The sequence below is a fragment of the Homo sapiens genome, chromosome 4, assembly GCF_000001405.40.
Source record: "Homo sapiens chromosome 4, GRCh38.p14 Primary Assembly".
Lineage (NCBI taxonomy): Eukaryota > Metazoa > Chordata > Mammalia > Primates > Hominidae > Homo > Homo sapiens.
Window position 1 is genome coordinate 9104704 of NC_000004.12, and position 27758 is coordinate 9132461.

The 27758-nt window shown below is 44.1% G+C and overlaps 1 long non-coding RNA gene and 1 pseudogene across 3 annotated transcripts in view; one reads left to right on the plus strand and one right to left on the minus strand.

Moving 5' to 3' along the window:
* The window catches only part of LOC105369250 (uncharacterized), a 117941-nt gene that overhangs the window by 70130 nt on the left and 20053 nt on the right, over window positions 1-27758 (minus strand). The window contains exon 3 of one of the 3 annotated variants that reach the window (XR_001741584.3): window positions 23080-26959. The exons of the other annotated variants lie outside the window; for them this stretch is intronic. This is a non-coding gene — a long non-coding RNA (uncharacterized LOC105369250). Of the gene's footprint in view, window positions 1-23079; window positions 26960-27758 lie in introns of those variants that run through there. 3 annotated transcript variants of the gene reach the window in all.
* Window positions 1-27758, plus strand: part of ENPP7P10 (ectonucleotide pyrophosphatase/phosphodiesterase 7 pseudogene 10) — a 62651-nt pseudogene that overhangs the window by 25746 nt on the left and 9147 nt on the right.

A 27758-nucleotide genomic window follows, 5' to 3' on the forward strand; every position in this document is an offset into this window, starting at 1 on the left:
AGACAATACTGTATAGCTAGAGAAGGGAAAGACTTTATCATCCCTGTAGGAAAGCTTAATTGTATAGGACAGAAGTTGTATAACAGCACAACACAGACAATTACTTAGTAGGGCCTAAACCACACTGAAAAGAATCCATTTAGTAAATTTTCTAAATTAAAAACTGCTTCGGCTCATCCAGAATCTCATCAGGACTGGACGGTTCCCGCTGGACTATACTAGATATGTAGGCACCGAGCCTACTTTCGGTTACCTAATAAATGGGCAGGCAGTTGTGTTATTGGCACTATTAAGCCGTCCTTTTTCTTATTACCCATAAAAACAGGTAAGCTGCTAGGTTTCCCTGTCTATACCTCCCGAGAAAAGAAAGGCATAGCTATAGGAAACTGGAAAGATAATGAATGGCCCCCAGAAAGGATCATACAGTATTATGGGCCTGCCACATGGGCACAAGATGGCTCATGGGGATACTGAACCCCCATCTACATGCTCAATTGGATCATACGGTTGCAGGCCGTCTTAGAAATAATTACTAATGAAACTGGCAGAGCTTTGACGGTTTTAGCTTGGCAAGAAACCCAAATGAGGAATGCTATCTATCAGAATAGATTGGCCTTAGACTACTTGCTAGTAGCTGAAGGAGGAGTTTGTGGAAAATTTAACTTAACCAATTGCTGCCTACAAATAAATGATCAAGGACAGGTGGTTAAAAACATAGTCAGGGACATGACAAAGGTGGCACATGTGCCTTTACAGATTTGGCACGAGTTTAATCTGAGTCTTTATTTGGAAAATGGTTTCCAGCGGGAGGAGGATTTAAACCCCTCATTGTAGGTGTATTGCTAGTGATAGGAACTTGCTTGCTGCTCCCCTGTGTATTATCCTTGTTTTTTCAAATGATAAAAGGTTTTGTTGCTACTTTGATTCATCAGAAAACTTCAGCACAGGTGTATTATATAAATCACTACGGTTCTACCTCAGAGAGAGACTCAAAAAGTAAAGATGAGAGTGAGAACTCCCACTAAAAAGTGAAAATGCTCAAAGGGGGGAAATATGGTATGAGACCACCACTTCTCCTGTTGTCCTTCCCAGTTTCTCCCCAACCTCCCTTTTTCCCTAGTTTGTAAGACAGGAAAAAAGGGAGAAAGCAAAAAGTTGGAAAAAACAGAAGTAAAATAAATAGCTAGACGCCCTCGGCGCCACCACCTGGCCCTGGTGGTTAAAATAACAATAATATTAACCCCTGACCAAAACTACCTGTGTTATCTGTAAATCCCAGACATTGTATGAGAAAGCACTGTAAAAACTTTTTGTTCTGTTAGCTGATGTTTGTAGCCCCCAGTCACATTCCTCAGGCTTACTTGATCTATTATGACTTTTTCGGGTAGACCCCTTAGAATTGTAAGCCCTTAAAAGGGCTAGGAATTTCTTTTTCAGGGAGCTCGGCTCTTAAGACACGAGTCTGCCGACGCTCCCGGCCGAATAAAAAAACCTCTTCCTTCTTTAATCCGGTGTCTAAGGAGTTTTGTCTGCAACTCGTCCTGCTACACTAGCTCTCCGTGACTCATCCCAACCCTTTTCATTACACACAGCCGAAGTGCAGCGCTGTGCAGTTGAAATTCTTACACAAGGACCAGGATCGCATCCTGTAGCCTTTTTGTCCAAACAACTTGACCTTACTGTTTTAGGTTGGCCATTATGTCTCCGTGCAGCAGCTGCTGCCACCCTAATACTTTTAAAGGCCCTTAAAATCACAAGCTATGGTCAACTCACTCTCTACAGCTCTCATAACTTCCAAAATCTATTTTCTTCCTCACACCTGCCACATATACTTTCTGCTCCCTGGCTCCTTCAGCTGTACTCACTCTTTGTTGAGTCTCCCACAATTACCATTGTTCCTGGCCCGGACTTCAATCCGGCCACCCACATTATTCCTGATACCACACCTGACCCTCATGACTGCATCTCTCTGGTCCATCTGACATTCACCCCATTTCCCCACATTTCCTTCTTCTCTGTTTCTCACCCTGATCACACTTAGTTTATTGATGGCAGCTCCACCAGGCCTAATCGCCACACACCAACAAAAGCAGGCTATGCTATAGTACAAGCCACTAGCCCGCCTCTTAGAACCTCTCATTTCCTTTCCATCGTGGAAATCTATCCTCAAAGAAATAACTTCTCAGTGTTCCATCAGCTATTCTACTACTCCTCAGGGATTCTTCAGGCCCCCTCCCTTCCCTGCACATCAAGCTCAAGGATTTGCCCCCACCCAGGACTGGCAAATTAGCTTTACTCAACGTGCCCCGAGTCAGGAAACTAAAATACCTCTTGGTCTAGGTAGACACTTTCACTGGATAGGTAAGGGCCTTTCCCACAGGGTGTAAGAAGGCCACCAAGGTCATTTCTTCCCTTCTGTCAGACATAATTCCTCAGTTTAGCCTTCCCACCTCTATACAGTGTGATAGCAGACCGGCCTTTATTAATCAAGTCAGCCAAGCATTTTTTCAGGCTTCTAGTATTCAGTGAAACCTTTATATCCCTTACAGTCCTCAGTCCTCAGGAAAGTAGAACAGACTAATGGTCTTTTAAAAACACATCTTACCAAGCTCAGCCACCAACGTAAAAAGGACTGGACAATACTTTTACCACTTTCCCTTCTCAGAATTCAGGCCTGTCCTTGGAATGCTACAAGGTACAGCCCATTTGAGCTCCCATATAGACGCTCCTTTTTATTAGGCCCCAGTCTCATTCCAGACACCAGACCAACTTGGACTGTGCCCCAAAAAACTTGTCATCCCTACTGTCTTCTGTCTAGTCATACTCCTATTCACCGTTCTCAACTACTCATATATGTCCTGCTCTTGTTTACACTGGTGGTTTACACTGTTTCTCCAAGCCATCACAGGTGATATCTCCTGGTGCTATCCCCAAACCACCACTCTTAACTCTTAAATAAATAATCTTTGCTGGCAAGGCTATGCTGAACCTCCTTAGGCACTCTCTAATTAGATGTCCTAGGTCCTCCCAATTCTTCATCCTTTAATACCTGTTTTTCTCCTTCTCTTATTCCGTTTAGTTTTTCAGTTCATAGAAAACTGTATCCAGGCCATCACCAATAATTCTAAATGACAAATGTTTCTTCTAACAACCCTACAATATCACCCCTTACCACAAAATCTTCCTTCAGCTTAATCTCTCCCACTCTAGGTTCCCATGCCACCCCTAATCCCCCTCGAAGCAGCCCTGAGAAACATCGCCCGTTCTCTCTCCATACCACCCCCAAAAAATTTTCACCATCCCAATACTTTACCACTATTTCATTTTATTTTTCTTATTACTATAAGAAGACAGGAACGTCAGGCCTCTGAGCCCAAGATAAGCCATCATATCCCCTGTGACCTGCATGTACACATCCAGATGGCCGGTTCCTGACTTAACTGATGACATTCCACCACAAAATAAATGAAAATGGCCTGTTCCTGCCTTAACTGATGACATTATCTTGTGAAATTCCTTCTCCTTGCTCAGCCTGGCTCAAAAGCTCCCCTACTGAGCACCTTGTGACCCCGACTCCTGCCTGCCAGAGAACCCCCCTTTTTCCTTTACCTACCCAAATCCTGTAAAATGGCCCCACCCCTATCTCCCTTCGCTGACTCTCTTTTTGGACTCAGCCCACCTGCACCCAGGTGAAATAAACAGCTTTATTGCTCACAAAAATCCTGTTTTGTGGTCTCTTCACACGGACGTGCATGAAAAAGACTATCCTTTTTTTTTTTTTTTTTTTTTTGAGACGGAGTTTCACTCTTGTTGCAGAGGCTGGAGTTCAATGGCATGATCTCAGCTCACTGCCACCTCCTCCTCCTGGGTTCAAGCAACTCTCTTTCCTCAGCCTCCCCAGTAGCTGGGATTGCAGGCACGCGCCACCATGCCCGGCTAATTTTGTATTTTTAGTAGAGATGGGGTTTCTCTATGTTGGTCAGGCTGGTCTCAAACTCCTGACCTGAGGTGATCCACCCGCCTCGGTCTCCCAAAGTGCTGGGATTACAGGCATGAGCCACTGAGCCCGGACAAAAGTGTCCTCTTATAATGACACTTGTCATTAGATGTACAGCCTACCTAAATTACTCCAGGAGAATCTCATCTCAAGATCCTTAAGTTAATTACATCTGCAAACACCCTTTTTCCAAATAATGCCACCTCCACCGATTCTAGGCACAAGGATCTGGATATATCTTGTGCAAAGCCACCATTCAACTCACTACACTAGAAAGAGGAAAAACAACGAAGTAACAAAATGCGCAGAAGAAAGAACAGATGCAGATTGTGTGGCAGTGGCCATCAAGGCAGGCTGGGGTAAAACTGTGTTAACAGAACCCCCAGATGGAACTCAAGTGTGGCCGTCTACTCCCAGCTACTCACAGAGAACGTTTCTGTTTCTGACAGCAGAGTAAGAGAAGGGGTGGGAAGAGAGATAGCCCATTCTCTGTTGGCCTAATTCCTAAGGAATCGTGCCTCTGCCTTCGGGTCATTCTAAGTCTTGTTCAAGGATAAAATGATTTATTGATAGCCGTAATTAAAAAGCAATGCCAACAGAAGCAGCGTCAGCATTTTTCATTTGTACTTACACATGAGCAAGAGCAGTTTAGGGAAACGGGTGCCTTCAGTTTGTTTTCTCCATCTAGAAAAGGGCTGCCTTTGTGGAATGCTGGCCCTGGGGAGAAGCCTCATTTCTATAGCAGGAATTGATACAGTTTTAAATTCTGATTGGTACACGGAGCTACCTGTCCTCATTTCAAGCACTTCTGGTTTGTTCTGGGTTCAGTGGGTGAGCAATGAGTAGAACGCTGGGGAGGAGGATTTGGAGCGAGGGTGGTTTTGATCCACAGAGGGAGCTGTTTTTCCATCAATGTCTTGACTGTGATTCAGAATGGGCTTCTCCGCTCAAGATGGGAATACTGGGCTGATTTAAGGCAGGTGATTGACTTGATTTGGTGGCTACTTTTATACTAGCTGGTTAACGAGCTATTTTCTTCATTAGTTTCAGGCATGTGAGCTTAATGAAGCATTGGACCTCCCAAATTACAAGGAAAATACACATATAGCTTGTGTGGTAGGTTCAAAGGAGTTAGTGAACAAACACAGTAGGGCCACAAATTATTGTTAAAGACATGAATGCATGAAAGTGTATCTATGTCCAAATGGACTCTCTGCAACCATACTGTTCCACCTGAAAATTAGTAGATAGAAATTCAGCAAATGCTTGGACAGGGGATACTCTCAGAAGTATTCTGACTAAATAGCATGGTTTCATTTCATATCACTAAAGTAATTTCTTCTCAAATTGACTCTGGACTAAATCTTATGATACCTACTTGTTCTGATTGTACTTAGCCACCTGCAAATAAGGTGGGGGCAGTGATAAGAGGAGCTGTTGAATGAAATTAAACATTTGTTGGATGCCTACTGAGGATAAAGCCCTGTGCTTTGTGTCAGGGAGATTCCAGAATAAATGAGGTACAGACTACTCTCAGGAAGCTTTTGCAAACTAATGGAGAAAACACATCTGCAGGCAATGACTTATGGTATAAGAGGAAATGGGGCCAGGTAGGGTAATTCACACCTGTAATCCCAGCACTTTGGGAGGCCGAGGTAGGTGGATCACTTGAGGTCAGGAGTTCAAGACCAGCCTGGCCAACGTGGCAAAACCCTGTCTCTACCAAAAGTACAAAAAAAAAAAAAAAATGAGCCAGTCTTGATGGTGTGCACCTGCAATCCCAGCTACTTGGGAGGCTGAGGCACAAGAATCACTTAAACCTGAGAGGTGGAGACTGTAGTGAGCCGAGATCCCACCACTGCACTCCAGCCTAGAAGACAGAGCGAGACTCTGTCAAAAAAACAAAAAGGAAATAAGATTGGTGTTGAATGGGAAATCTAAGCAGGATGGAATGACAGGAGAGCGCCCACTTGCCCAGCTCCAATAACACTTTTGACAGCCATGACAATATTGCAGGGACACCCATTCCTTATGGTATCTGAAGTCCCATGAAGGCTTGAGTCTGGAGGCTAGTTCAGTCTTGACTTTAAGATAAGGGGATACAAGGAATGATTTTCATCTATCCCAAGCCAATAGTCCAGCCAAAAATCTAGGTCTGAGTTGAAGAGAAAAAGCAAGTCATCAACCATGTCAGCCATTTCATCATCATCATCATCATCATCATCATCATCATCATCATCAAAAACAAAAGACAGACCTGTAACCGTCTTGTGTGCCTGGCTCTCATCTTAGTTCAAAATATAGAAGTAAATTCTATGGCCAGCGAACAATGACCAAAATAGCTCTTATCACTCTCGTCTGCCACCATGTAAGACATCCCTTTTGCCTTCCACCATGATTTCGAGACTTCTTCAGCCACATGGAACTGTGAGCCCATTAAACCTCTTTTTCTTTATAAATTACCCAGTCTTGAGTAATAAAATAGTGGTTTGTCCACAACATCAATGAACGATGCTGTTACTTGTTCCAAGCACGTATCATTTAAGAGGTTTGGATAAACAACAACCTAAAATAAATAAGCACTAAACAAACTCAGGGCTACATAATCCCTGTGGTGAGGTAACTGACAATGGGTACAACTGGGACACTTTACTGTTAAATCACCTCTATCTACATGTGCCAAAGCAGTGAGATACTTGGTTTTAATCCTAAAAAATCATGGTGCACATTTACTCCTGCCTTCCAACTGGGCTTTAACGTCACCTCCTCAGAGAAGCCCGCTTTTCTGAGCTTCCACTCTGCTTTTTTTCAGCATTTAGTAGAGCATCAGTCACCATCCATATATGGGAACAATGATTGTAAGAAACAGAAACCCATTTGCATGAGCTTGAGGACAAGGAGCACACCTTATCTCTAACAGGAAAACTCATGGGCACAAGAAAAAAATGAGAGGCCATGAGAGAATAGAAACTGCAGTTACAGAAACCAAAATTCCTCTTTCTTGCTCTCAGAAGCCCATGGTCTCTTTTTTTTTTTTTTTTTTGAGATGCAGTCTCACTCTGTCGCCCAGGCTGGAGTGCAGTGGTGCGATCTCAGCTCACTGCAAGCTCCACCTCCTGGGGTTCACGCCATTCTCCCACCTCAGCCTCCCAATTAGCTGGGGCTACAGGCACCTGCCACCACACCCAGCTAATTTTTGTATTTTTAGTAGAGATGGAGTTTCACCATGTGAGCCAGGATGGTCTCGATCTCCTGACCTCGTGATCCGACCATCCTGGCCTCCCAAAGTGCTGGGATTACAGGCGTGAAACACCGCGCCTGGAAGCCCATGGTCTTTCTTATCAGCCCTGTGGAATTTCTTATCTCTTCTTCTCACTCACAACCAATTTTCCCTTTTTGCTGGTGGCCCATCTTGGCAGCCAGCAGAGCCCACCCCCAGCTGATCAGTCAGTTACTGGATATCTTGGAGAGGGAGGGAGGGAGGGAGGGAGGGAGGGAGCGAGAGGGAGACAGAGAGAGAGAGTGACAATTGGGCTTCTGGCCAACCAATTGAGTATAGGGAGGGGAAGTACCATGGTATAAATATAGCGCCAAGACCTGCTTTCCAGCATGGCCAGTGAGTAGGGAAATTGAGGGAAGGTACCTGCAAACACAGCAGACATCTCAGAACATGCTCTCTGTTCTTAGTTCTCTCTCCTGCCTTCTCCTAGATTGTAAATATCACAAGACAGTCTAGGATAGTACCTGGCTCAAAATATTTGAGAAAGAGAAAAAGGAAGGCATTGGATCAAACTGTGTACTTCATGGTTTCCTAAATTCACTCTGCAAGTTTTTGGGTTTTTTGTTTTCTGAGAGTCTCGCTCTGTTGCCCAGGCTGGAGTGCAATGGCATAATCTTGGCTCACTGCAACCTCCACCTCCCAGGTTCAAGCAAATCGCCTGCCTCAGCCTCCTGAGTAGCTGGGATTACAGGCACGCACAGCTACACCAGTTAATTTTTGTATTTTTAGTAGAGACGGGGTTTCACCATGTTGGCCAGGATGGTCTCGAATTCTTGACCTCGTGATCCACCCACCTCGGCTTCCCAAAGTGCTGGGATTACAGGTGTGAGCCAACACACCTGGCCGACTCTGCAAGTATGTAAGTGAATGAATGTCAGTCCCTGAGAATCAGAATTTCTTCTGATTTAATGGCATTAAATCTCCATTAGGTTTAATCCTGGTCAGCAGCTGTAGGGTGTCCTGGGTTTGGGATCAGTGGGATGAGGAAAAAGCAGGTTCTCCAAACCACCACACACGGAGGGGAGGTGTTAACTAGGCCAAAGATGATGGGTGGGGTACGTTCCTGGGTTTCAAACAGCTTATGCCAGGCCTAAAAACCGACGCTGAGGAAGAAACTGTATTAAGCAAATTGATGACATAATGGAGGGGGTCAAAAAGTTTAATATTGCTAAGAAGAATACAAATATTGATCATGCAACATGTTATTATCACACCATCTCCTGCTACACGCCAGGTTTCCTTTACCATGAGATACAAGAAATTTGTGGATCTGACCTAACCCTCCAAATTGTAAGGTCCCTGATCGTGGGCTCATGACATTCATGTTTTATAAATGTGGCATAAAGCCTCACGCTGACTGCCATGTGGCCCAATACCAGTTCGATGCTACATTCAAAGAACCATCATTCCAGCATGCAAGCATACTTAAAGGCAATTGAAATGTTTACCACCGTCCCTCAAGACAAACACCAAAGAAAAATTATTTTCAAAATGCATAGCAACACTTCTTAAAATCTTATTTTCCCATCTCTTTCTCTCTCTCTACCACATTCCCAGGAGTTTCCCAGGAGCAAAACTATCATAAAGACCCAGAAGCAAAATGATTAATGACTTCACTATATCTGATTCTGATTTAGTTGGTTTAGAGTGGTGTCCGGTCTTACGTATTTTTTAAAATCTTGCTGGGCACAGTGGCACACACCTGTAGTCTCATCTACTCAGGAGGCTGAGGCAGAAGAATCACTTGAGCCCGGGAGTTTGAGTCCAGCCTGGGCAACATAGCAAGACCCTGTCTCTGAAAAAAAAAAAATAAAAGCAAAAACAAATCTCTCTCAGCTGAAGTCAGGGTTGATAACTAGTTGATCAAAAAATTGTGGTAGCCATCCTTCACAATGGACCTTAATATTCCCACCTCCTGGTGTTATTCATTGTGGAATCTCTCTTAGCTAGTCCTCAATTGGTTCTGGTATCCAGGCCCCACCTTGAGAGGCTAGTCCCACCTCCTACCCCACACATGGTTTTACACTTACTTTCAAGACTGGTCTAAAAATGTAAAATGTATTTATTTTGACCTTGTTTCCAATGAAACAACTATTCTAAACATTCATTTAGGATGGTTAGGGAAATTTGAACACCGGCTAAATATTAGAAGATGTTTGCTTCAAAATAACCCAGATTGGTAATGAGATGATGGCGGCTGAGGCTGGTGATAGGCACAGAGGGCTTCATTATCAAATAGAAACAAGTGGAAAAAACAGAATTTTTCCATAATAAAAATGTAAGGTAAACACGAAAATGTACTGAGTGCATGAAAAGAATCTATGGTCTCACAGGCATTAGCTTATAATTTGAACATCAAAAATAAAAGTGACGGCCAGGTTCAGTGGCTGATGCCTGTAATCCCAGCACTTTGGGAGACCGAGGTGGGTGGATCACTTGAGCCCAGGAGTTTGAGACCAGCCTGAGCAACATAGTGAGACCCCCATCTCTAAAATAAATAAATATAAATAAAAGTGACTAGAATTGATTATAGAACATCAACTCGATTTGAGTCTATAAAGATTCCTGGTGGAGGGGGGCAATAGGGAGAAGGAGGAAGAGAATATATTTGTGACCTAGATTATTTTCCTTAGTTTTGAGAGAATCTTCGGGTCTCCTGGGTCTTCTAGCCCAGTATTTATGTTTACTTTTTATTGATTTATTTATTTTTTATTTTTTTAGATGGAGTCTCACTCTGCCACCAGACTGGAGTGCAGTGGTGCGATCTCGGGCCACTGCAACTTCCGCCTCTCAGGTTCAATCTATTCTCCTGTCTCAGCCACCCAAGTAGCTGGGACTACAGGTACCTGCCACTTCACACAGATAATTTTTTTTTTTTTTTTTTGAGACAGAGTCTGACTCTGTTGCCCAGTCTGGAGTACAGTGTTGCAATCTCGGCTCACTGCAAGCTCCACCTCCCAGGTTCATGCCATTCTCCTCCCTCAGCCTCCCGAGTAGTTGGGACTACAGGCACCTGCCACCACGCCCGGCTAATTTTTTTGTATTTTTAGTAGAGACAGGGTTTCGCCGTGTTAGCCAGGATGGTCTCGAACTCCTGACCTCATGATCTGCCCGCCTCAGCCTCCCAAAGTGCTGGGATTACAGGCATGAACCACTGTGCCCGGCCGCACCCAGCTAATTTTTGTATTTTTTGTAGAGATGGTGTTTCACCATGTTGATCCAGGCTGGTCTCAAACTCCTGACCTTAGGTGATCCGCCCGCCTTGACATCCCAAAATACAAGGATTACAGGCATGAGCCACCACACTCTGCCTATTTTCCTTAGTTTTCAGAGAACCTTTGTGTCCCCTGGGTGTTCTAGCCCAGTATATCTCAAACTTTGCTGCACTGAGGACCTTGTTGAAATGCAGGTTCTCATCTGCGAGGCTCAGTGGGCCAGCAAATCGGCATTGGTTTAGGAAGCTCACCCTGAGTATCAAGCTTCAGTGAGGACCAGGCAGGCCCCTGCCTGCCAACGCCCTCTCAGCTGGGCTTAACTCTGGCTCTCTCCTGCCAGGGTTCCTCCCCTCAAAATAGGAGCTATTTTCAAAAAATCTCTAGGAAAAAAGACCCTGTTTTAAAATTGGGGTGTTCAGGATTGGCCATCTGCTCACCATGGGGTTTTAAGACCTTTGCCCAGACCCCTGCAACCAACTTAGAACTGACATCTTTACTCTTGAAGGCCCCACTCCACACCATATTAAATTCATTAAAATCCACCCCCATTACAGGCATATCTCAGGCATTACACCCTCAGAACGGAGTTGCAGCTGACCACTTGACAGTGTTGTAAAGCATTAAACATGCATTCATTTCAGCCTTGCAGTTTGCACATTTAGCAGCCAATTGTCTTAGGTCTAAAGCATTCATGCCGAAGCATTTTTATGGGCCCCAGACACTATGCTTCCCAGCCTTAATGGCCTCTGCAATGCTGGTTCCTACTGCCCCACCCCTGGGTTCTGGCCGGCTAGCTCATGCCACCTCACTGCTCCCCCATTCAAGTGTGCCTTAAATGTGTGGTTTCCAAACTCATCTACACTTTAGGGTCACCTGGGATTTTTTTTTAAATCTTCCAAAACCCAGGCCACACCCAAGAACAATTAAACCTCAACCTCTGGAATGGGACATAGCATCCGTTTTTTGTTTTGTTTTTGAGACACGGCCTCGCTCTGTTACCCAGGCTGGAGTGCAGTGGCACAATCATAGCTCACTACAGCCTCCAACTCCTGGGCTCAAGAAACCCTCCCACTTCAACCTCCACGGTAGCTGGGATCACAGGTGGGCACCACCAGGCCTGGCTAATTTTTTTAATTTTTTATAGAGACAGTATCTCCCTATGTTCTCCAGGCTGGTCTCAAACTCCTGGGCTCAAGCGATACTCCCGCCTCAGCCTCCCAAACCGCTGGGATTATAGGCATGGGCCACCATGCCTGGACATCAGCATCTGTATTTTTTGAAGCACAGACGAGTTTGGGAACTACCGTGCTAGACTGAGCTCGGTTTCCTAGCCCTGTCTGACCGTAGGATTCGGCTGGGCTGCTTCTGAAAACAGAGCTCCCCAGGCTTCTTCCCAGGTAATTCTGATTCATTAGGTCTGGGGTGGGCCCCGGAATGTGCATTTTTTATGAGATCCCTCTGGGTGAATCAGGCTAAAGCCAGTTTGGGATCTGAGACCTTGGAGATCATTCCCCAACTTCCCTCCTAACGCAGTTCCCAGCTTGGCCCACCTCACCCAGGCTGTGTCACGTCTGACTTCACAGATTACACCTGAGAGGGAAGCCCCAGCCATCACAATGTGAGAACATTTTACAATGACCAGGATATGCCAAATACATTTTAAAACTCATTCAGGATTAGCGTTCACCTTAAACTTGACAGACTCTGAGAACGGGCTGGCCACGTGCTGTGCACAACCGTTAGTGCTCTTCTGTGACTAATATTTGGATAATTGATTGTTGGAAGCTCAGGAAGCCTCTCTCTCTCAGAGGGGTCGAATTTAATTTCTTTATTTCTGAGGTAGGGAAGAAAATGAGGATGTTCTGCCTTTTGCTAGACTGAATACTGTCCTCCAAAATTCATATTCACCAGGAATCCCGGAATGTACCCTTATTAGAAAATAGGGGCAGGGCATGGTGGCTCATGCTTGTAATCTTAGCACTTTGGGAGGCTGAGGCAGGAGGATCACTTGATGTCAGGAGATCGAGACCAGCCTGGCTAGCATGGCAAAACCCTGTCTCTACTAAAAACACAAAAATTAGCTAGGCATGGTGGTGTGCACCTGTAATCCCAGCTACTTCGGAGGCTGAGGCTGAAGAATCACTTGAACCCAGGAGGCAGAGTTGCAGCAAGCTGAGATTGTGTCACTGAACTCCAGCCTCGGCAACAGAGCAAGACTCCATCTCAAAAAAAGAAAAGAAAACAGGGTCACTGCAGATCTAATTACAAAGAGGTCATATTGGAATAGCGTGGACCTTAAATCGAGTAATAATGGCATTCCTCATGGGAAGAGAAGAAGAGACAGAGACACACAGAGGAGAAGGCCACATGAGAATGAAGGAAGAGAATGGAATGATGTGGCCACAAGCCAAGGATTGCCAGCAACCACCAGAAGCCAGAAGAGGCAAGGAAGGATTCATCCCTAGAGCCTTCAGAGGGAGCGCGGCCCTGCCCGTTTCAGACATCAAGCTTCTGGAACTGGAGAGAATGACTTTCTGTTGTCTTGAGCCACCCATTTGGGGAACTTTGTTAGAACAGTCACAGCCAGGTCATGTGCTCCTGAATGCATCTCAGGCATTAATAAGCACTGTCTTGGCCAGTCAGGGTGGCTCACCCTTGTAATCCCAGCACTTTGGGAGGCAGAGGTGGGTAGATCACCTGAGGTCAGGAGTTCGAGACCAGCCTGACCAACATGGAGAAACCCCATCTCTACTAAAAATACAAAAATTAGCTGGGTGTGGTGTTGTGCACCTGTAATCCCAGCTACTTGGGAGGCTGAGGCAAGAGAATCAGTTGAACCCTGGAGGCAGAGGTTGCAGTGAGCCAAGATTGTGCCAATGTACTCCAGCCTGGGCAACAAGAGCAAAACTCCGTCTCAAAAAAAATAATAAGTGCTGTCTTGACTGTGGTCATCAAAAATATTTGATGAAGGGTTAGCTAGAAAGCCTGACCCTTTCACAGATGGATGGAAGGGCCAAAAGAAAATAGATTGTTTGCAGTGGGGCAAGAAGGATAAGAATCCTATGGAAAAAAAAGAGGGAATTGTTTAGTGAGCGCTGGGGAGAGGCATTTGTTTTCTTGCTTAAAAAAGAAACACAGGTTGGGTGCGGTGGCTCAAGCCTTAATCCCAGCATTCTCGGAGGCCAAGGTGGGTGGATCACCTAAGGTCAGGGGTTCGAGACCAGCCTGGCCAACACCATGAAACCCCATCTCTACTAAAAAGACAAAAACAAAAGAAAGAAAGAAATTAGCCAGGCATGGTGGCGAGCGCCTGTAATCCCAGCTACTCGTGTGGCTGAGGCAGAGAATCACTTGAACCTGGGAGGCAGAGGTTGCAGTAAGCCAAGATGGCATCGTTGCATTCCAGCCTAGGCAACAAGAGTGAAACTCTGTCTCAAACGAAAGAAAGAAAGAAAGAAAGAAAGAAAGAAAGAAAGAAAGAAAGAAAGAAAGAAAAACATAGTTTTAAGTCCACTCAGTGGAGTTTAAAAATACATTCTCGTTGCACAGTGCTTTTGGAATCTTTTCTAAACTTCTGTTGCACATGATCTAATTTGATCTTCATAGCAACTCCCTGAGGTGGATAGGGGAGGCCTTTCTGAACACCTATTTTCTAGTTTGCATTAAAAGAACGGAATTGGCTGGGACCAGTGGCTCATGCCTATAATCCCAACACTTTGTGATACAGAAGGGAAGTGCTCAGAAGGGAAGAATGTGGTCCCTTTAAATGATATGGAAGTGAGGAAGGAAAGTACTGGGTAGAGGAGGGTGTGGTCCCTGGCTAGGGCTCCACCCCAGGGCCTGTGCCCACGGACCTAGGTGAGGACAGGCATTTTTGTTTTCCTGCCCAAATGTTGCATTTCCCAAGACCACCCTGGCTGCCACACCCCCATTCTGTGCCTATAAAAACCCTGAGACCCTAGCAGGCAGACACACAGGCAGCTGGACTTCGAGAGGAGCACATCAGCGGAGGAACACAAGGGTGCTGGATGTCAAAAGGAACGCACCAATGGGCACCGACACACCACAGGCCACTGACTGCAGAACAACGTAGAGTTTGGCTGGGACATTCGGAGAAGAGTCAGGCCACTCACCCGACTCCAGGGGTAAACCATCTCCCTTCTGGCTCCCCCATCTGCTGAAAGATACTTCCACTCAATAAAACCTTGCGCTCTCACGCCTGTAATTCCAGCACTTTGGGAGGCCGAGGCGGGCAGATCACGAGGTCAGGAGATCCAGACCATTCTGGCTAACACAGTGAAACCCCATCTCTACTAAAAATACAAAAAAATTAGGCAGGCTTGGTGGTGGGTGCCTGTAGTCCCAGCTACTTGGGAGGCTGAGGTAGGAGAATGGGGTCAACCGAGGAGGCGGAGCTTGCAGTGAGCTGAGATAGCACCACGTCCGGTACACCAAGGCAAGAACCCCGGGACAAAGAGATCCTTCTGTCCTTGCAATAAGACGGGGGTCTAATTGAGCCGACTAACACAAGCTACCTACAGACGGCTAAACTAAAAGAGCACCCTGTAACACACGCCCACTGGGGCTTCAACTATAAACATTCACCCCTGGACACTGCCATGGGGCTCCCTGCCTGTCTGCATGCTCCCCTAGAGGTTTGAGCAGTGGGGCACTGAATAAATGAACCACACCCGCATCGCATGCCCTTGGAGGGGGACAACGGAACATTTCCCATTTCATCTGAGAGGCCAAGGCAGGAGGATTGCTTGAGCCCATGAGTTTGAGACCAGCCTACACAACATAGCAAGACCCCATCTCTACAAAAAAAAGTAAACAACAAAAAAGGATTAAAAATTAGCCAGCTGTGGTGACACACACCTGTAGTCTCAGCTACTCAGGAGGCTGATGTGGAAGGACTGATTGAGCCCAGGAGATTGAGGCTGCAGTGAGCCAAGATTGAACCACTGCACTCCAGCCTGGGCGACAGAGTGACACCCTGTTTCGATAACAGCAAAAAGAATGGAACAAAATCACTTCTCAAATAGCTAGCAGAGGCAGATCTGGTTCTCAAATGCAGGTTTTCCAGGTTTCAATTCTTGTTTCTAGCAGTATTATGGAGAAACATGATCACTAATACATGAAGGAGAGGAGGTTTCAAGTTCTGATGAAAAGATGGTAAAGAGAGGAGTTAGTTGACTAGGAGTGACTAGGAATAGGAAGAAAACGCATGACACTACTTAGAGGAAAGAAGAAAAATAAACATAGAGGTGACTGAGCGGACAGAAAGGACTTGGAAGAAGCGTGTTTGGCCCTGTCTCTAAATTTTTTCCCTTGCTTTAGTAACTTCCCTGATGACTTGGATGAATCTTCTCTTCCAGGGTACCTAGTGTTCCCTTTCTGTCCACTTCTCCCTTCCCAGGGCCCATACAGTCTGGGAAAGCATGCTCTGCAGGCTTCTCATATCTTTCCTTCCTTAATCAGCCCCTGGCATCTCTACATAACCCATATGCACCTGGAGTTCCACATGTCCCAGTCTTTGCACTGCAGTGAATTCAAAGAATGGTAGACTCTAGCTGGGCGCACGGGCTCACACCTGTAATCCCAGCACTTTGGAAGGCTGAGGCAGGTGGATCACTTGAGCCCAGGAGTTCAAGACCAGGCCTGGCCAACATGGTGAAACCCCATCTCTACTAAAAATACAAAAATTAGCTGGGCTTGGTGGTACATGCCCAGTAGTCCTAGCTTTTGTGGAGGCTGAGGCAGAAGAATTGCTGGGACCCAGGAGGCAGAGGTTGCAGTGAGCTGAGGTTGTGCCACTGCACTCCAGCAGCCTGGGCAACAGAGCAAGGCCCAGTCTCAAAAAAACTCAAAGACAAAACTAAACCAAAAACAAACAAACAAACAAACAAACAAAAAACATAAAGCGCGCACACGCACAAAAACAAAGGTACACTCCAATAGGAAAAATTCACTCAAAAGCAATTCAAATAATTATTCAGTCAACCCAGTTCTATCTCAGTTCTTTATTATATATATAAACTTATTCTGTCCAGATTCCCTAGTTTTCTTTTTCTTATATTTTTTGTTTTCTTTTGAGACAGGACCTCACTCTGTCACCCAGGCAGGAGTATAGTGGCACAATCATGGCTCACTGTACCCTCAACCTCCTGAGCTGAAGTAGTTCTCCCACCTCAGCCTCCCAAGTAACTGGGACTACAGGTGCATGCCACCATGCTCAGCAACTTTTTCTATTTTTTGTAGAAATGGGGTCTCACTATGAGGGCCAGGCTGGTCTTGAACTTCTGGACTCAAGAAGTCCACCTGCCTCAACCTCCCAAAGTGCCAAGATTACAAGCATGAGTCACTGCATCTGGCTGATTCCTTAGTTTTCTTTTTCTCTTTGCGCATTGACTGGATTCCATAAGCAGAAGGAAAACCCAGGGGCTGACTTTGTAGGCAAGATTCTCCTCTTCAAAACGTAAATTGGCTCAAGTGGTACCAAAACTGAAACATGTTTATAACTTAACATCTTTTCTTCCTACCCTTTCAATCTCTTGAGCAATGAGAAAAGGCACTGGGCTCTTCATTTGTGTAGGGAAAAGAAAGAGAGATCAGACTGTCACTGTGTCTATGTAGAAAGGGAAGACATAAGAGACTCCATTTTGAAAAAGATCTGTACTTTAAACAATTGCTTTGCAGAGATGTTGTTCATTTGTAGCTTTGCCCCAGCCACTTTGCCCCAACCACTTTGACCCAACTTGGAGTTCCCAAACATGTGTTGTATAAAATCAAGGTTTAAGGGATCTAGGGCTGTGCACGACGTGCCTTGTTATCAAAATGTTTACAAGCAGTATACTTGTAAAAGTCATTGCCATTCTCTAGTCTCAATAAACCAGGGGCACAATACACTGTGGAAAGCCGCAGGGACCTCTGCCCTTGAAAGCAGGGTATTGTCCAAGGTTTCTCCCCATGTGATAATCTGAAATATGGCCTCGTGGGATGAGAAAGACCTGACTGTCCCCCAGCCCGATACCTGTAAAAGGTCTGTGCTGAGGTGAATTAGTACAAGAGGAAAGCCTCTTGCATTTGAGATGGAGGAAGACCACTGTCTCCTGCCTGCCCCTGGGAACTCAAAGTCTCGGTGTAAAACCCGATTGTGCATTTGTTCAAGTCTTAGATAGGAGAAAAGCTGCCCTGTGACAGGAGGCGAGACATGTTTGCAGCAATGCTGCCTTGTTATTCTTTACACCACTGAGATGTTTGGGTGGAGAGAAACATAAATCTGGCTTACGTACACGTCCAGGCATAGTACCTTCCCTTGAACTTATTTATGATATAGATTCTTTGGCTCACATGTTTTTTGTTGACCTCCTTATTATCACCCTGCTCTCCTATTACATTCCTTTTTGCTGAAATAATGAAAATCATAATCAATAAAAACTGAGGGAACTCAGAGCCCGGTGCCGGTGCATGTCCTTGGTGTGCTGAGTGCCGGTCCCCTGGACCCACTGTTGTTTCTCTATACTTTGTCTCTGTGTCTTATTTCTTTTCTCCGTCTCTCATCCCACCCGACTAGAAATACCCACAGGTGTGGAGGGGCAGGCCACCCCTTCATCTGGAGCCCAGCTTGGGGCCCTTCTGTAGGGTGAAGGTACTCTAAGAACGTGAGCATTGAGGACAGCCGACGAGAGATTCCCTAGTACGTCCACAGTCAGCCTTGTGGTTAGCTTGTGCGCTCAGAGGAATCCAGGGTAACAATGGGGCAAACTGAAAGTAAATATGCTTCTTATCTCAGCTTCATTAAAATTATCTTAAGAAGAGGGGGAGTTAAAGCTTCTACAGAAAATCTAGTTACGCTGTTTCAAACAATAGAACAATTCTGCCCATGGTTTCCAGAACAGGGAACTTAATATTTAAAAGATTGGGAAAAAATTGGCAAAGAACTAAAACAAGCAATTAGGGAAGGTAAAATCATCCCACTTACAGCATGGAATGATTGGGCCATTATTAAAGCAACTTTAGAACCATTTCAAATAGAAGAAGATAGCGTTTCAGTCTTTGATGCCTCTGAAAGCTGTGTAATAGATTGTGAAGAAGAGGCAGGAACAGAGTTTAAGAAAGGAATGGAAAGTACACATTGTAAAAATGCAGTAGAGCCTGTACTGGCTTGGTCAATGCAGAATGTTGACTATAATCAATTACAGGAGGTAATATATCCTGAATCATCAAAATTGGGAGAAGGAGGTCCAGAATTATTTGGGCCATCAGAGTTTAGACCACGATGGCCACCAACTCCTTCTCCCGCGGTTCAGATGCCTTTGATGTCACAATCTCAAATGCCAATCCAGGCACAGTATCCGCAATACCAGCCAGTAGAAAATAAAACCCAACCATCGGTAGTTTATCAACACAAGCCGTCAGCCGTATTTCAGTATCCGCCGTCTCCAGAGGTTCAGTATGGATCTCAGGCGGTGCGTCCTGTGCCAAATAGCAAGGCACTATATCAACAACCCAAGGCGATGGCGTTTGATCTTACAGTACCACCTAGTGGACAAGGTAGTGCACTGCATGAGACCATTGCTACAGCCAGAAAACAGGGAGATCTTGAGGCATGGCAATATCCGGGAATGTTACAAACAATGCCGGCCGGGAAAGGGAGTCAAGCAAGAGCGTCTGTCTGAACCAAGACTAGATATGAATCTATCACCATAAAAAAATTTAAAAGATATGAAGGAAGGAGTTAAACAATATGGACCTAACTCTCCTTATATGAGAACACTATTAGATTCCATTGCTCATGGAAATAGACTTATTTCTTATGATTGGGAAATTTTGGCTAAATCTTCCCTTTCACCCTCTCAGTATCTACAGTTTAAAACCTGGTGGAATGATGGGGTACAAGAACAGCTACGAAAAAATCAGGCTACTAATCCTGTTGCTTATATAGATGCAGACCAATTGCTAAGAACAGGTCCAAATTGGGGCACTACTAACCAACAATCAGTAATGAAAATCAGGCTATTGAACAACTAAGGGCTATTTGCCTCAGGGCCTGGGAAAAGATTCAGGACCCAGGAACCTCATGCCCTTCTTTTAGTTCAATCAGACAAGGCTCTAAAGAGCCATATCCAGACTTCGTGGCAAGGTTGCAAGATGCGGCTCAAAAATCCATTGCAGGTAATAACGCCCGAAAAGTTATTGTAGAAACAATGGCTTATCAAAACGCAAATCCAGAGTGTCAATCAGCCATAAAGCCATTAAGAGAAAAGGTTTCAGCAGGAGTTGATGTAATTACAGAATATGTGAAGGCTTGTGATGGGATTGGAGGAGCTATGCATAAGGCAATGCTATTGGCTCAAGCAATTACAGGGGTTGCTTTAGGAGGACAAGTTAAAACATTTGGGGGAAAATGTTATAATTGTGGTCAAATCGGTCATCTAAAAAAGAATTGCCCAGGCTTAAATAAACAGAGCAAAAAAAAAAAAAATAGAGCCACCTGGCCTGTGTCCAAGATGTGGAAAAGGAAAACACTGGGCTAAGGAATGTCGTTCTAAATTTGATAAAAATGGACAACCATTGTCGGGAAACGGGGAAGAGGGGTCAGCCCCAGGCCCCGCAACAAAGTGGGGCATTCCCGATTCAGCCATTTGTTCCTCAGGGTTTTCAGGGACAACAACCCCCACAGTAAATACCACCATTTCAGGAAATCAGCCAATTACAATACGACAATTATCCCCTGCCACAGCAGGCAGTGCTGCCGTAGATTTATGTTCTACTCAAATGATTTCTTTACTCCCTGGAGAGCCCCCTCAAAAGATTCCTACAGGGGTATATGGGCCGCTGCCAGAAGGGATGGTAGGCCTTATTTTAGGAAGATCTAGTCTAAATTTGAAAGGAGTTCAAATTCATACTGGGGTAATTGACTCAGATTATAAAGGGGAAATTCAGTTAGTGATCAGCTCTACTGTTCCCTGGAGTGCCAATCCAGGTGATAGAATTGCTCAATTACTGCTCTTGCCTTATATTAAAATTGGGGATAGCAAAACAGAAACAGGAGTGTTTGGAAGTACCAACACTGCTGGAAAAGCTGTTTATTGGGCTAGTCAGCTCTCAGAGAATAGACCTGTGTGTACAGTTACTATTCAGGGAAAACAGTTTGAAGGATTAGTGGATACTGGGGCTGATGTTTCCATCATTGCCTTAAATCAATGGCAAAAAAATCAGCCTAAACAAAAGCCTGTTACAGGATTTGTTGGTGTGGGCACTGCCTCAGAAGTGTATCAAAGTGCCAGGATTTTACATTGTCTAGGACCTGATAATCAAGAGACTACAGTTCAGCCTATGATTACTTCTATTCTAATTAATTTATGGGGTCGAGACTTATTAGAACAGTGGCATGCAGAGATTACTATTCCAGTCTCTCTATACAGCCCCACGAGTCAAAAAATCATGACTAAAATGGGATATCTCCCTGGCAAAGGACTAGGGAAAAATGGAGAAGGCATTAAAATTCCAATTGAGGCTAAGGGAAATCCAGAAAGAAAAGGACTAGGGTTTCCTTTTTAGGGGTGGTCACTGTAGAGCCTCCAAAACCCATTCCAGTAACTTGGAAAACAGAAATGCCTTTATGGGTAAGTCAGTGGTCACTGCCAAAACAAAAGCTGGAGGCCTTACACTTATTGGCAAAAGAACAATTAGAAAAGGGACATATTGAGCATTCATTTTCGCCTTGGAATTTTCCTGTGTTTGTAATTCAGAAAAAAATCAGGCAGATGGCGCATGTTAACTGATTTAAGAGCTGTTAATGCAGTAATTCAACCCATGGGGTCTCTCCAACCTGGGCTGCCCTGTCCAGCCATCATCCCCAAAGATTGGCCTTTAATTACAGTTGATCTGAAGTATTGCTTTTTTACCATTCCTCTGGCAAAACAGGATTTTGAAAAATTTGCTTTTACTATACCAGCCATAAATATTAAAGAACCAGCCACTAGATTTCTGTGGAAAGTGTTGCCCCAGGGAATGCTTAATAGTCCAACTATTTGTCAGACTTTTGTAGCTCAAGTTCTTCAACCAGTTAGAGACAAGTTTTCAGACTGTTATATCATTCATTATGTTGATGATATTTTGTGTGCTTCAGAAACAAGAGACAAATTAATTGACTGTTACACATTTCTGCAGACAGAGGTTGCAAACGCAGGCCTGACAATAGCATCTGATAAGATTCAGACCTCCACTCCTTTTCATTATTTGGGAATGCAGGTAGAGGAGAGAAAAATTAAACCACAAAAAGTAGAAATAAGAAAAGACACATTAAGAACATTAAATGACTTTCAAAAATTGCTAGGAGATATTAATTGGATTCGGCCAACTCTAGGCATCCGTACTTATCCCATGTCAACTTTGTTCTCTATCTTGAGAGGGGATCCAGACTTAAATAGTAAAAGAACATTAACTCCAGGGGCAACTAAAGAAATTGAATTAGTTGAAGAAAAAATTCAGTCAGCAAAAGTAAATAGAATAGATCACTTAGCCCCACTCCAACTTTTCATTTTTGCTACTGCACATTCTCCAACAGGCATTATTGTTCAAAATACAGATCTTGAGGAGTGGTCATTCCTTCCTCACAGTACAGTTAAGACTTTTACATTGTACTTAGATCAAATGGCTACATTAATTGGTCAGGCAAGACTATGAATAGTAAAATTGTGTGGAAATGACCCAGATAAAATCATTGTTTCTTTAAACAAGGAGCAGGTTAGACAAGCCTTTATCAATTCTGGTGCAGGGCAGATTGGTCTTGCTGATTTTGTGGGAATTATTGATAATCATTAACCAAAAGCAAAAATCTTCCAGTTTTTGAAATTGACTACTTGGATTTTACCTAAAATTACCAGACAAAAACCTCTAGAAAATGCTCTGACGGTGTTTACTGATGGTTCCAGCAATGGAAAAGTGGCTTACACTGGACCAAAAGAACAAGTTATTGAAACTCAATATCACTCAGCTCAAAGAGCAGAATTGGTTGCTGTCATTTCAGTGTTACAAGATTTTAATCAGTCTATTAACATTGTTTCAGATTCTGCATATGTAGTACAGGTTACAAAGGATGTTGAGACAGCCCTAATCAAATATAGTGTGGATGATCAGTTAAATCAGCTGTTTAAATTGTTACAACAAACTGTAAGAAAAAGAAATTTCCCATTTTATATGGCTCATATCCGAGCACATACTAATTTACCAGGGCCTTTAACTAAGGCAAATGAACAAGCTGACTTGCTAGTATCATCTGCCTTCATGGAAGCACAAGAACTTCAGGCCCTGACTCATGTAAATGCAACAGGATTAAAAAACAAATTTGATATCACATGGAAACAAGCAAAAAATGTTGTACAACATTATGCTCAGTGTCAAGTCTTACACCTGCCCGCTCAAGAGGCAGGAGTTAATCCTAGAGGTTTAAGTCCTGATGCATTATGGCAAATGAACGTCACACATGTACCTTCATTTGGAAAATTGTCACTTGTCCATGTGACAGTTGATACTTATTCACATTTCATATGCGCAACCTGCCAGACAGGAGAAAGTACTTCCCATGTTAAAAGACATTTATTATCTTGTTTTGCAGTCAGTGGATTTCCAGAAAAAATTAAAACAGATAATGGGCCAGGATACTGTAGTAAAGCATTTCAAAAATTCTTAAATCAGTGGAAAATTACACATACAACAGGAATCCCTAATTTCCAAGGACAGGCTATAATGGAAACAACTAATAGAACACTCGAAGCTCAATTGGTTAAACAAAAAAAGGAAAAAGTAAGGAATATAACACTCCCCAGATGCAACTTAATCTAGCACTCTATACTTTAAATTTTTTAAATATATATAGAAATCAGACCATTACTTCTGCAGAACAACATTTTACTGGTAAAAAGAACAGCCCACATGAGGGAAAACTGATTTGGTGGAAAGACAACAAAATAAAACATGGGAAATAGGTAAGGTGATAACATGGGGGGGAGGTTTTGCTTGTGTTTCACCAGGAGAAAATCAGCTTCCTGTTTGGCTACCCACTAGACATTTGAAGTTCTATAATGAACCCATCAGAGATGCAAGGGAAGGCGCCTCCGCAGAGACAGAGAACCCGCAATCGAACATCAACGACTCGCAGGGTGAACAAAATGGTGATATCAGAAGGACAGATGAAGTTGCCATCCACCAAGAAAGTGGGGCCGCCGACCTGGGCCCAGCTAAAGAAGCTGACACAGTTAGCTGAAAAAAGCCTGGAAAACACAAGGGTAACACAGACTCCAGAGAATATGCTTCTTGCAGCTTTAATGATTGTATCAACGGTGGTTAAGTCTCCCTATGTCTTCAGGAGCCGCTACAGCTAACTATACTTACTGGGCCTATGTGATTTTCCCACCCTTAATTCGGGCAGTCACTTGGATAGATAATCCTATTAAAGTATATGTTAATAACAGTGAATGGGTACCAGGCCCCACAGATGACCGTGGCCCTGCCCAACCTGAAGAAGAAGGAATGATGATAAACATTTCCATTGGGTATCATTATCCTCCTATTTGCCTGGGAAAAGCACCAGGATGCTTAATGCCTACAATCCAAAATTGGTTGATAGAAGTACCTACTGTCAGTGCCACCAGTAAATTTACTTATCATATGATAAGTGGAATGTCACTCGGGTCACAAATGAATCATTTACAGAATTCTTCCTATCAAAGATCATTAAAATTTAGGCCTAAAGGAAACCATGCCCCAAGGAAATTCCAAAAGAATCAAAAGACCCAGAAGTCTTAGTTTGGGAAGAATGTGTGGCTGATACTGCAGTGGTACTACAAAACAATAAATTTGGAACTATTATAGACTAGGCCCCTCGAGGCCAATTATATTATGACTCTATGGGCCAGACCCACTCATGTTCACAGGCTCCATCTGCCTGGCCCACTAATCCGGCCTATGATAGTGATTTAACTAAAAGGCTAGACTAGGTTTATAGAAGGTGAGAATCACCCTATCCATGGAAATGGGGTGAAAAGAGGATTTCATCACCCCGACCAAAGTTAGTTAGTCCTGTTGTTGGTCCTGAACACCCAGAATTATGGAAGCTCACTGTGGCCTCGTACCACATTAGAATTTTGTCTGGAAATCAAGTTATGGGAACAAGAAACCATAAGCCATATTATACTATTAACCTAAATTACAATCTGAAAATTCCTTTGCAAAGTTGTGTAAAACCCCCTTATATGCTAGTTGTAGGAAACATAGCTATTAAACCAGATTCCCAAACTACAAGCAGTGAAAATTGTAGATTGTTTACTTGCATTGATTCAACTTTTGATTGGTAGAATGGTATTCTGTTAGTAAGGGCAAGAGAAGGCGTGTGGATCCCTTTGTCCATGGATCGACCATGGGACGCTTCTCCATCCGTACATATCTTAAGTATTAAAAGGAGTTCTAACTAGATCTAAAAGATCCATTTTTACTTTGATTGCAGTGATTGTGGGTCTTATTGCAGTCACAGCTACTGCTGCGGCTGCTGGAATTTCTTTACACTCCTCTGTTCAAACTGCAGAATATGTGAATAATTGGCAAAAGAATTCCTCAAAATTGTGGAATTCTCAGACTCAAATAGATCAAAAATTGGCAAATCAAATTAATGATCTTAGACAAACTGTTATTTGGATGGGAGATAGGCTCATGAGCTTAGAATATCTTTTTCAGTTACAGTGTGACTGGAATACGTCAGATTTTTGTATTAAACCTTGAGCCTATAATGAACCTGAACATCACTGGGACATGGTTAGACGCCATCTACAAGGAAGAGAAGATAATCTTACCTTAGATATTTCTAAATTGAAAGAACAAATTTTTGAAACCTCAAAAGCCCAGTTAAATCTGGTGTCAGAAACGGAGGCAATGGTAAAAGCTGTTGATAGCCTCACAAATCTTAACCCTGTCACTTGGGTTAAAACCATTGGAAATTCCACTATTGCAAATTTTGTATTAATTTTTGTATGTCTGTCCTCTCTATTGTTAGTCTACAGGTGTATCCAGCAGCTCCGGAGAGACAGCGACCAGTGAGAAGGGGCCATGATGACGATGGCGGTTTTGTTAAAAAGAAAAGGGGGAAATGTAGGGAAAAGAGAGAGATCAGACTGTCACTGTGTCTATGTAGAAAGGGAAGACATAAGAGACTCCACTTTGAAAAAGACCTGTACTCTAACAATTGCTTTGCTGAGATGTTGTTCATTTGTAGCTTTGCCCCAGCCACTTTGCCCCAGTCACTTTGACCCAACTTGGAGTTCACAAAAACATGTGTTGTCTAAAATCAAGGTTTAAGGGATCTAGGGCTGTGCAGGACGTGCCTTGTTAACCAAATGTTTACAAGCAGTAAAGTTGGTAAAAGTCATTGCCATTCTCTAGTCACAATAAACCAGGGGCACAATGCACAGTGGAGAGCCGCAGGGAGCCCTGCCCTTGAAAGCAGGGTTTTGTCCAAGGTTTCTCCCCATGTGATAGTCTGAAATATGGCCTCATGGAATGAGAAAGACCTGACTGTCCCCCAGCCTGACACCCGTAAAGGGTCTGTGCTGAGGCGGATTAGTAAAAGAGGAAAGCCTCTTGCAGTTGAGATGGAGGAAGGCCACTGTCTCCTGCTTGCCCCTGGGAATTGAATGTCTCGGTGTAAACCCGATTGTACATTTGTTCAAGTCTGAGCTAGGATAAAAGCTGCCCTGTGGCGGGAGGCGAGACATGTTGCAGTAATGCTGCCATGTTATTCTTTACTCCACTGAGATGTTTGGGTGGAGAGAAACATAAATGTCGACTACATGCAAGTCCAGTCATATACCTTCCCTTGAACTTAATTATGATATAGATTATTTTGCTCACATGTTTTTTGTTGACATTCTGCTTATTATCACCCTGCTCTCCTATTACATTCCTTTTTGCTGAAATAATGAAAATCATAATCAATAAAAACTGAGGGAACTCAGAGGCCAGTGCTCGTGCAGGTCCTGGTGTGCTGAGTGCCAGTCCCCTGGACCCACTGTTGTTTCCCTGTACTTTGTCTCTGTGTCTTATTTCTTTTCTCTGTCTCTCATCCCACCCGACTAGAAATACCCACAGGTGTGGAGGGGCAGGCCACCCCTTCAATTTGGTGACACATAGCCTGTGGCCTCAAAGAACACTGACACGCCGGTAACATCCATTCGAAGAGCTTCTCCGTACCTCCCCTCCTTTATCCCCAAGGTCTCTGGGTCAGAGATCACTGAGTCATTCACAACATGATGTTTAACACCGAGACGCTCTGGAATTGCTCCTTCAAGATGACTCAGAAGAAGACCCAGTGCTGAGACAATCGTGTTCTCTCTCTTTCTGGATCACCGCCCAGAGACAAGGACTGCCAGAGACCCTGGCTTCCACAGCTGCTGCCTCCCATTCCTGCGCCTGTGGGATGAGAGTTTGAAGCTGTGTGACCTTGAACAAGTTACTTACCCTCTCTAAGCATGTTTCCCTAAATGTGAAATAGGGATGATGGTGATGTGTTTATTTCACAGATTTGATAGAAGGATGAAATGAGAGATGCATCAAAAGCAGTGGGCACAGGGTCAATGCTCAGTGAGCTTTCTGTTTTCTTATCAATAGACAGGTCTCCATGAGGACAGAGACTGGCTTCATCTCGACTGTAGCCTCAGGGCTGGCCACAGTGTCTGCACCCAGCAGGACTTCAGTAAATATCTGTTTATACACTAACCACAGACTTAGGCATAAAAGCCCTTTGGAAGAAAGTTGACCATTTCATGCACCTTCAGACTATGAAGAGCAATGATGACAACTTTAGCTCGAGAGGGTCTCAGTGCCTATTCATCACCACTGTGAAAAGGCAGAAACCAGAGCTGTATGTTTAACTCCCAGCCCCAAAACCTGTTGGCTTTGCTTTATCACTATGAACTCCCAATGCCATCCCTTTAGAATGGGACCTCTCTCTTCTTCCCCAAGGCACCAGCCTTCACCCCAGACCTCTCCTTATTAGCTGGTGCCTCCTCTCTGTACTCTGAGCCCATGCTGTGCTCGTCAGATAGCAACATGGGAGAATACAGCAGCCCAGAATGCAGGCTGCAGAGTTAGGTCCCCAGAACAGGATCTCAGCCGGATCCATCCTTCCTCAGCTGGGCGACCGTGGCCATTGACTTCCTCTCTGTGCCTCAGTTGCTCCATCTGTGAAATGACGATTGTCATAGTCCCT